Here is an 11408-nt window from a genome sequence, read left to right on the forward strand (position 1 = left end):
AAGAAATTTCACTTACGATAGCTACAAAAATACCTAGGATAAATTTACCCAAAGAGGTAAAAGAGTCTTACAATGAAAACTATAAAACTCTGATGAAAGAAATTGAAAAGGACACCAAAAAATTTAGATATCCCATGTTCATGGACTGAAGAGTTAATATTATGAAAATATCCATGCTATCCTAAGTGATCTACAGATTCAATGCATTTGATATCACAATATCAATTACATTCTTAACAGCATAGAATAAAATACAATGCTAAAATTTGTATGGAATCACAAAAAAAAAAACCCTAAATAGGCAAAGCAATCCTGAGCGAAAAGAGCAAAGCTGAAGGCATTACACTACGAGACTTCAAAATATTCTACAAAGGTGAAGTAACCAAAATAAGATGGTACTAGCATAAAAAACAGGCATGTAGACCAATGGAATAGAATAGAAAACCCAGAAACAATTCCCTGCATTTATAGTTTTTCAGCAAAAGCATTAAGAACATTCACTGGGGAAAAGACAGTCTCTTCAATAAATTGTGCTGGGAAAACTGGATATCCATATACAGAAAAATAAAACTAGACCCCTATCTCTCACCACATAAAAAAATCAAATCAAAATGGATTAAAAAATTACATTTAAATTTCAGCTTTCTACATATGGCTAGACAGTTTTCCCACCATCATTTATTAAATAAGGAATCCTTTCCCCATTGCTTGTTTTTCTCAGGTTTGTCAAAGATCAGATGGTTGTAGATGTGTGGTATTATTTCCGAGGGCTCTGTTCTGTTCCATTGGTCTATATCTCTGTTTTGGTACCAGTACCATGCTGTTTTGGTTACTGTAGCCTCGTAGTATAGTTTGAAGTCAGGTAGCATGATGCCTCCAGCTTTGTTCTTTTGGCTTAGGATTGTCTTGGCAATGTGGGCTCTTTTTTGGTTCCAAATGAACTTTAAAGTAGTTTTTTCCAATTCTGTGAAGAAAGTCATTGGTAGCTTGATAGGGATGGCACTGAATCTATAAATTATCTTGGGCAGTATGGCCATTTTCATGATATTGATTCTTTCTATCCATGAGCATGGAATGTTCTTCCATTTGTTTGTGTCCTCTTTTATTGCGTTGAGCAGTGGTTTGTAGTTCCCCTTGAAGAGGTCCTTCACATCCCTTGTAAGTTGGATTCCTAGGTATTTTATTCTCTTTGAAGCAATTGTGAATGGGAGTTCACTCATGATTTGGCTCTCTGTTTGCCTGTTATTGGTGTATAGGAATGCTTGTGATTTTTGCACATTGATTTTGTATCCTGAGACTTTGCTGAAATTGCTTATCAGCTTAAGGAGATTTGGGGCTGAAACGATGGGGTTTTCTAAACATACAATCATGTCTCCTGCAAACAGAGACAGTTTAACTTCCTCTTTTCCAATTGAATACCCTTTATTTCTTTCTCCTGCCTGATTGCCCTGGCCAGAACTTCCCACACTGTGTGAATAGGAGTGGTGGGAGAGGGCATCCCTGTCTTGTGCCAGTTCTCAAAGGGAATGCTTCCAGTTTTTGCCCATTCAGTATGATATTGGCTATGGGTTTGTCATAAATAGCTCTTATTATTTTGAGATGCGTCCCATCAATACCTAATTTATTGAGAGGTTTTAGCATGAAGTGCTGTTGAATTTTGTCAAAGGCCTTTTCTGCACCTATTGATATAATCATGTGGTTTTTGGATCCCTTCCTTACGCCTTATACTAAAATTAATTCAAGATGAATTAAAGACTTAAATATTAGACCTAAAACCATAAAAACCCTAGAAGAAAACCTAGGCAATACGATTCAGGACATAGACATGGGCAAGGACTTCATGTCTAAAACACCAAAAGCAATGGCAACAAAAGCCAAAATTGACAAATGGGATCTAATTAAACTAAACAGCTTCTGCACAGCAAAAGAAACTACCATCAAAGTGAACAGGCAACCTACAGAATGGGAGAAAATTTTTGCAATCTACTCATCTGACAAAAGGCTAATATCCAGAATCTACAAAGAACTTAAACAAATTTACAAGAAAAAAAAACAACCCCATCAAAAAGTGGGTGAAGGATATGAACAGACACTTCTCAAAAGAAGACATTTATGCAGCCAACAGACACATGAAAAAATGCTCATCATCACTGGCCATCAGAGAAATGCAAATCAAAACCACAATGAGATACCATCTCACACCAGTTGGAATGGCGATCATTAAAATGTCAGGAAACAACAGGTGCTGGAGAGGATGTGGAGAAGTAGGAACACTTTTACACTGTTGGTGGGACTGTAAACTAGTTCAACCATTGTGGAAGTCAGTGTGGCGATTCCTCAAGGATCTAGAACTAGAAATACCATTTGACCCAGCCATCCCATTACTGGGTATATACCCAGAGGATTATAAGTCATGCTGCTATCAAGATACATGCACAGGTAGGTTTATTGCGGCACTATTCACAATAGCAAAGACTTGGAACCAACCCAAATGTCCATCAATGATAGACTGGATTAAGAAAATGTGGCACATATACACCATGGAATACTATGCAACCATAAAAAAGGATGAGTTCATGTCCTTTGTAGGGACATGGATGAAGCTGGAAACCATCATTCTCAGCAAACTATGGCAAGGACAAAAAACCAAACACCGCATGTTCTCACTCATAGGTGGGAATTGAACAATGGGAACACATGGACACAGGAAGGGGAACATCACACACCAGGGCCTGTCGTGGAGTGGGAGGAGGGGGGAGGGATAGCATTAGGAGATATACCTAATGTTAAATGAAGAGTTAATGGGTGCAGCACACCAACATGGCACATGTATACATATGTAACAAACCTGCACATTGTGCACATGTACCCTAGAACTTAAAGTATAATAAAAAAAATTAAATTTAAGACCTAAAACTATAAAACTACTTGAGAAAAATCATTGAGGAAATTATCCAGGGCATTGGCCTAGATGAATATTTTTTGGGTAAGACCTCAAAAGCACAAATAGCAAAAGCAAAAATAGATAAAAGGGATTGCATCAAGCTAAAAAGCTTCTGCACAGCAAATGAAACAGTAAACAAAGTGAAGAAACAACCTACAAAATGGCAGGAAATATTTGCAAACTATCCATTTGACAAAGGATTAATAACCAGAATATAAAAGAAACTCAAATAACTCAATAGCAAAAAAAAAAAAAAAACAAATAATAATCCAATTTGAAAATGGACAGTAATCTGAATAGACACTTAACCAAAGAAGATATACAAATGGCCAACAGGTATATGGAAAATATGCTCAATATCACTAATCATCAGGAAAATGCAAATCAAAATCACAATGGGATGAAAGCTCATCCCAGTCAAAATGGCTATTATCAAAAAGACAAACATATATATATATATATATATTTTATATGTATATATTATATATATATTATATATAAAATATATACATATAAAAAATATATATATAATATATACATATAAAATATATATATATTAAACAAATGCCATTGAAGATGCAGGGAAAGGGAAATGCCAGTACACTGTTGGTGGGAATATAGATTACTACAGCTGCTAGGAGAAACTGTATAGAGGTTCCTTTAAAAACTAAAAATCTATCTACCATACGATTCAGCAATCCCTGCTGGGTATATATCCTAAAGAAAGGAAATCAGTATATCAAAGACATATCTGTACTCCCATGTTTATTGCAGCACTATTTACTATAGTCAAGATATGGAAGCAACCTGAGTGTCCATCAATGAATGAATGGATAAAGAAAATGTGGTATATATACACAAGAGAATAATATTCAGTTACAAAAAAGAATGAAATACTGTCATTTTCAGCAACATGGATGAAACTGGGGGACATTTTGTTAAGTGAGATAAGCCAGGCACAGAAAGACAAATATCAAATGTTCTCACTCATAAGTGGGAGCTAAAAAAGTTGATCTCATGGAAGTAGAGATTAGAATGGTGGTTACCAGAGGCTGGAAAGGGTAGCAGGGAGGAGAAATAAAGAAAGGTATTTTAATGAGTACAAAAATGCAGTCAAATAGAACAAGTTCTAGTACTGTAGCACTGTAGGGTGATAATTGTTAATAATAACTTATTGTATATTTCAGAATAACTAGAAGATTTGGAATGTTCTCAACACAAAGAAATAATAAATATTTGACATGATGGATATCTCAATTACCCATATTTGATCCTTACACATTGTATGCATGTATCAAAATATCACATGTAATCCAAAAATATATACAATTATTATGTATCAAAGAATTTTTAAAAAGAAAACAGAGGCACAGAGAGATCAAGTAAATTGTTCATGATGTATTAAGAGAAGGGCTCTGGATTAGAATACAGGAAAACTGCCTCTAAACTATATTCTCATTGCTAAACTTCTTAATAGTGCTTTAGTGCAATATTAGTTCTTTGGCTAGAGTCTCTCTCCTTTCCCTCTCTCTATGGAAAGCTTGTTTATTACTCAAATGCCAACTCAAATGTCATTTCTTCCATGAAACATTCCTCTCTCAGAATTCCTCTCTCTCCTCAGTATTCTCATCAATTTTTAAAAATACCCATATGACACAGATGGGGTTCCCCAGAAGCAGACCTAATATGAAGGATTTTGTGTGATTTATGAACTAAGTGGTCCCAGGAGAAACTGGTAAGGGAGTGGGGAGGCTAGACAGGGAGAAGGAAGAAGACAGGAAAAGGGGAGATTTCAGGTGAAGCCCTAGCCACAGTTTGATCCCACAGGAAAGCTCTAAAGTATAAGTTAATCCTCAGAGTTTGTCTTGACCTAAGGCAAAGGAGCTAAAATTTCACCTACACTTAACAATCGTTAGCTAAGCACCTCACCCCTGGAAGATATAAGCTTACAGATATTTCAGGCTTTCGATATGTCAAGACAAAGTGGCTTAATAGCCAAGAGAGTGCTCTCATAAGAACATGGAAGCTGGCCGGGCACGGTGCTCACGCCTGTAATCCCAGCACTTTGGGAGGCCGAGGCGGGCGGATCACGAGGTCAGGAGATCGAGACCATCCCGGCTAAAACGGTGAAACCCCGTCTCTACTAAAAATACAAAAAAAAATTAGCCGGGCGTAGTGGCGGGCGCCTGTAGTCCCAGCTACTTGGGAGGCTGAGGCAGGAGAATGGCGTGAACCCGGGAGGCGGAGCTTGCAGTGAGCCGAGATCCCGCCACTGCACTCCAGCCTGGGCGACAGAGCGAGACTCCGTCTCAAAAAAAAAAAAAAAAAAAGAACATGGAAGCTATGGGCTCTTAGAGGCAAAATCATCCAAAAACTGAGGAGGGGTTCACAAAAATGTTAAAAGGGATATGAGGGCATCAGGGCAGAGCCCCAATAGTGTCTGGTAATCTCTGCAATAGAAGTTACAGTATTACTACATCTGCACTAATCTTGATTTCAGTATGTGCATCCTTTACTATACTACTTGATAACACCTCCTGCATCTTTTTATTTGCACCTAACAAATGTTATTTTGATTAAATTCACTTTAATAATGAAGAGAGGCCATGACCAGACTTGTGAATTATCAATTCATTTCTTGGCTCCTCTGAAAATTATTGACTCTCTATCACCTATGATTAGTCCCATTCTTGTTAAAATCTTCAAAGATATCAACATCTACTGAATGTGCCCTTTTAAATCCTATGAGGATAAAGTTCAGAGGACTTAGCTAAAGACCACTCTCCAGGACTATTTTCATCTTAACAGAGAACTCATTATGAACAACCAAGTTAGCCATTGTACTACCCTTCTAGAACCAAAGAAGTTTCTACCCTCTCAACACCATCCCTTCCCGCTTCTTAATTTCAATACTGAATAAAGAAAATTTGAGGATAACTTTGTAGCTGACTTAAGGTAAAGACAGTGAGTGAATTCATATGTGAATAACTAATCTCACAACATCAAGATAGAGAGAAAGCTCTGCATGTTGAGTTGCTGCCATTGCAGTGTTGTTCATGAAACAACCTGCTTGCAGTCTCATAAAACCATTTCCTTTCAGTGCTTTCTCAAGGCTGGAAGGTGACCTTAGTGCAGAGTCATTTGATTTCCACAGAATACATATAGCAAGAACTGCAACGCAGAGAAATCCCTGAAATAACTTGTGCTATAAACATAAAGTAGAAGCAAGAGGTAGCCCTTTATGAAATTTCTACGTAATAATGCCCAACATTATTTAATACATATTGTGGGCCAGCCCATATGTGTTAGAGATGTCTTAGCTAGTTTACCCACGTAACTACACTTTGATGTGTTTTTTTAGATGAGGAAACTAAGATCTGAGGGCATGAATCGTGATCAAAGTCAGATTTCCCAAAAGTTATATAGTAGAAATCTGAGATTTGAGTACAGGAATAAATGACTGATGTCAGCATCTGAACTCAGAACCTTGTTCCCTTCTAGTTCCCCACATGGAATCAGAACATGGTGGGTCTTCAATCAAACTCTCTCAATACATATAGAGCCTGTTTAATATCAATATCATCAAATAGTTTTGAAAGTCTCACATTGAAGATAATGTTACTCCCAATGAAACCTTAAATACCTATCCAGCACTCAACACAAATGTCTTAAATACCTCTTTAGAATCCCTCATCATGTACAGCTTTGCTGAACTTACATGAATTATAAATAGAATATTGATGTATAAAAATAATAGAAATAAGGATACAAGGAAAATATTTATCCTATTAGACAAAATGACTTAGGGTTCATGTGTTTGAGAGCATTGGAACTGATCAGTAATGTTCACTAAAAGTAACAACTATGTAAATGGACCTCTGTTCTAGAACATGTGCTTAGCCATTAATCCATATTTGTGTACACATAGACAACAATGCATATATAATTCTCTAATTCAGACTTTTCATTACTTCAATCCAGCTTTATGTCTATTAATCCTTTTTAATCGAACTTCTAATTAAATAGTTTTCAATTGAACTATTAAACTGCTTGCTATTTTTTACTTAAAGTAATGAATTCTGGTATGTATGTCTGTTGAGAGTAGACAGAATTTTTAATTTTGTTTGTTATTTTAAATTTTGTTTCATTCTTTCTTAGGTTAAATGCCTGTCTTTCTTAGGGTATCAAGGTCCTACCAGGAAACAGAGGCATGCTTAAGTATGTGGGGAGAGTTTAATGAAAGGACAATATACAGAGAGGTGGACAGGATGTAGGGAAACCATTAAAAAAAAATGGCACAGTACCCAGGGCTAGTAAAAAGGGCCTGGGCCTATTATTTATTGCTAGCCCTTGGTCCAAAGGGAGGGAGCTATTATCAAGACCTAGAGATCTATAGGGTTGTATGGGAAGGCGGCTAACAGGCCCTGCGAGAAGAAAGCTAAGAACATAAATACCCAACCTTAGTCTTCTTCCTCCTTCCAATCTCCCACTACATGATGGCTTGCACCTGTAGTCCCAGCACAACATGGCGAGACTCCATTTCTATGAAAAAAATTAAAAATTAGCTGAGTGTGGTGGTGTGCACCTGTGGTCCCATCTACTTGGGAGGCTGAGGTGGGAGAATTGCTTGAGTCCAGGTCAAGGCTATAGTGAGCCACGATCATGCCACTGCACTCCAGCCTGGGTGACAGAGTAAGACCCTGTCTCAATTGAAAAAAAAAAAAAAATAGTGGGAGCAAAAGAGAGGGAGGGAGGAGATGAGGAGATGCCATACTCTTTTTTTTTTTTTTTTTTTTTTTTTGAGACGGAGTCTCACACTGTTGTCCAGGCTGGAGTGCAACGGCGCGATCTTGGCTCACTGCAAGCTCCGTCTTCTGGGTTCATGCCATTCTCCTGCCTCAGCCTCCCAAGTAGCTTAGGACTACAGGCGCCCGCCACCACGCCCAGCTACTTTTTTGTATTTTTAGTAGATTCGAGGTTTCACTGTGTTAGCCAGGATGGTCTCAATCTCCTGACCTCGTGATCCGCCCGCCTCGGTCCCCCAAAGTGCTGAGATTACAGGCATGAGCCACCGCGTCCGGCCCATACTCTTTTAAACAACCAGATCTCATATGAACTAACAAAGCAAGAACTCATTCATCACCAAGAGGATGATGCTAAGCCATTCCTGAGGGATCCACTCCCATGACCCAAAAACCTTCCACTGGGCCCCACTTCTAACATTCGGAATTACATTTTGACATTAGATTTGGAGGGGACAAATATCCAAACTATATCAAATGCTTTTGTTGGAAAGAGATGAAGTATTAGTAAATAGTAAATTAAAAGGATATCATTGAAACTAAACGTATTTATTTAAAAGATTTGAAACAATCTTTTTCTCATACAAATACTCCCACTCTACCAGAGATCCGGGCATTTGATTCTAAAATCAACATTATTATTTTCATGATTACTCATCACTAATTGTGCACCTATCATGAAATTGGCTCTTCTACTCACTAGCTGGGTATTTAATTCTGTATACCTCGGAGCCCTAATCTGTAAAATGGAGATCAAAATAATACATATCTCATGAGGTTGTTATAAGAATAAATGAGCTAATACATACAAAATGCTTGTATGACTGTGCCTGATCCTTACTGTTCTCAGTAGCAGCTATTATTTGAATCAATGTTAATATTACTATCACTTTGCTTTCTTTCAGTTCATCTGTGAAGATTAAATTAGCTATTATTATTCTAGTTTTACAGATGAGAAAAGTGAAGCCCAGAGAAGTTAAGCAACTTTCTCAAGGTAATACAGCTAATCGGTGTAGAAGTCTATCTGAAGAGTGTGTTACCAAGGACACTGTAATCTGAATTTCGTTGATATTGATCTAAAGGAAAACATTGTTTTAACTATGTTGAAAATAGACTGTTTTGGTACATTTATTCAGTGACATTTTCATTACAAAAAGATCTCTGCTTCCAGGTTTCCTTGGCCCCATTTGTTTTCCAATTTTTCCATCCCAGGTCCTCCCTCAGCAATTATAGATTGCAGGATGGAAGAGAAGAGGGAAAGGTGGCAAACAAGCAGCAGAATCAGGCTGGAGGAGGGTGTGATGCTCTTTGCCCATTTATATCCAGAACTCAAATGTTCAACTCAGCTTCAGCAACAATTCATCTTATAAATCAGTTTGGCAGGGCATCAGCTTTAAAATCCATTACATTGAATCAAGAATGGAGTTTGCAGCTAATTTGCCGACAGGGAACCCTTACATGGCAGTGACCTTTTAAGCTAGCATAAACCAATGTTCTTGCTCGCCTCTGCTTCTCTCCACACCACTGAGTCAGTTTTGCTCCTGCCTGTTTTTTCATGTGGAAAGAAGAATTGAAATGTTTACTCTCACTCTCCTTAGAAAAATAGATATTAGCAGAATGATTACATTGTTCCTTATTCTAGATTATCTCTTCGACTTTTACTTACCACAATAGCTGTCACCAAATCATTTTTCTTAATAAGAAGAGGCTTAATAACTATTTTTTAAATGCTCATTTATTTATTAGTTACTTAAAATCTGGCTTCCCCTCACCAAAACTTGACAGAAATTGTTTCTTGGAAAACCACCCATGATACCCTAATTACCAGACCCTGAAACTTATTTTTTCTTTTTTTCTTTGTCAGTGCTTCTCCAGCATTTGACCATTTGGACTACCAATCTTTTCTTCTGAAAATCTCTATTTCCTTTGCTTCCACAGCATTCAAATATTTTGGTCCTTTATTCACCCACCTGAAGACCACTCAATATCAAGCTCTTCAGCCTCTTGTAGATAACCCATGAGCTTATTTCATTAACTTCCATGGTAGACAGGATATTGACCATCCCACAGAGGTTCATATGTCCTAATCCCTGGGATCTGCAAATTTTGCATGGTAAAAGGGAGATTGCAGATGTGATTATGTTAAGGATCTTGAGATGGGGAGATATTCCTGTATTATCCAGATGGGTCAAATGTAATCACAAGGATCTTTATTAAAGAGAAGCAAGAGGGTTAGAGTCATAGCAGGAGATATAATATTGAAGCAGAGGTGAGAGAGGAGAGAGAGATTAGATTGCTTGCTTTGAAGTTGGTGGAAGGGGCCATAGCCAAGGAAACTGGACAATCTCTAGAAGGTGGAAAAGGCAAAGAAATAGATTTTCCCCTAGAGACTCCAAAGGGAATTCAGCCCTACCTATACCTTGACTTTAGGACTTCTGACTTGCCACACTCCCAGATGATAAATTTGTGTTATTTGGAACACTAAGTTTGTGGTGATTTGTTACAGCAGCAATAGGAAACGAATAAAACTGTCTTTTTCAATTTTTTATTTCTCACTGTGAAAATTCTTCCAAATTCCAGGATTGACAATTACCTTCTAGACATCCTTACCTGGATACTTCAGCAGCATCTCAAACACAACTAGTCCACCATTAAAATTATTGTCTTTCTCCAAAAATCTATTCCTCAGTGGACTTTTACAACTGCATTCATTCATTTATTTATTGACTCTTTCATTAATGTATTTATTCACAAACTAATATGTTTATGAGTGCCTACATGCTGATACCACTGAGACTCTTAGAATGCAAGTGTGAACAAAATATAAAGTTTCAGCCCCAGTGGGGATGATATTCTAGGGAAGAGATAGACAAAACCAGGAAAAAAGCAAACAAACAAATAAAATAGTTCCTGCTAGTGAAAGTTTTATGAATACTGTCAAGCAAGGTAATGGAATAGAAAGTAACGTGATGTAGGACAGGTGGGTGGTGGCTCTTTTAAATAGGATGTTCAGAGAATGTCTGTCTGAGAAGGTGATATTTGAACAGAGATCTAATTGAAGAGAAGAAGTAAGAATGAGAGTATATAGAGGACTAGCATTCCAGAAAGAAAGTACAACAAATAGAAAGGCCCTGAGACAAGAATGAATTTGAATTGTTCATGTTCAACTGATTGCAAGAAGATGGGAGTAGACTGGGCAAAGTGGGGAGGGGTAAAAAATGGGGTCAGAAAGATAGGCAGACTTTTTTGGGTCACGGTCATAATTTCGATTGTTATCTAAATGTGATAGGAAACCACTAGACAATTTTGAACAGGGGAGTGAAGTAAACTGATTTATAGTTTTTTTAAAAAAAATCACCGCAGCTTCTTTATAAAGAACAAAATGAAGACAGAAAGAAAAAGCTGTGATAATGGGGGTGATCTTCTAAAGAGGGGATAATTTCCAGAGCAAAAATATCAGGTGGTACAGAGGAGGAGGTTTACAGTGTAAGTTTAGTCATTATTATTATTCCTTACTTTTTACAGGTGGCATAGAGAGAATATCAGTTCTGGTAGAAGAGGTTGTAGATTTGATGACAGTAAAATAGAGTATGAATATGATGAAGGATTGGAAAAGAGAAAAGAAGACAGGAAATAGACTTTTCAACAAGTAGCACAGCAAC

The sequence above is a fragment of the Homo sapiens genome, chromosome X (genome assembly GCF_000001405.40).
Source record: "Homo sapiens chromosome X, GRCh38.p14 Primary Assembly".
Taxonomy (NCBI): Eukaryota; Metazoa; Chordata; class Mammalia; order Primates; family Hominidae; genus Homo; species Homo sapiens.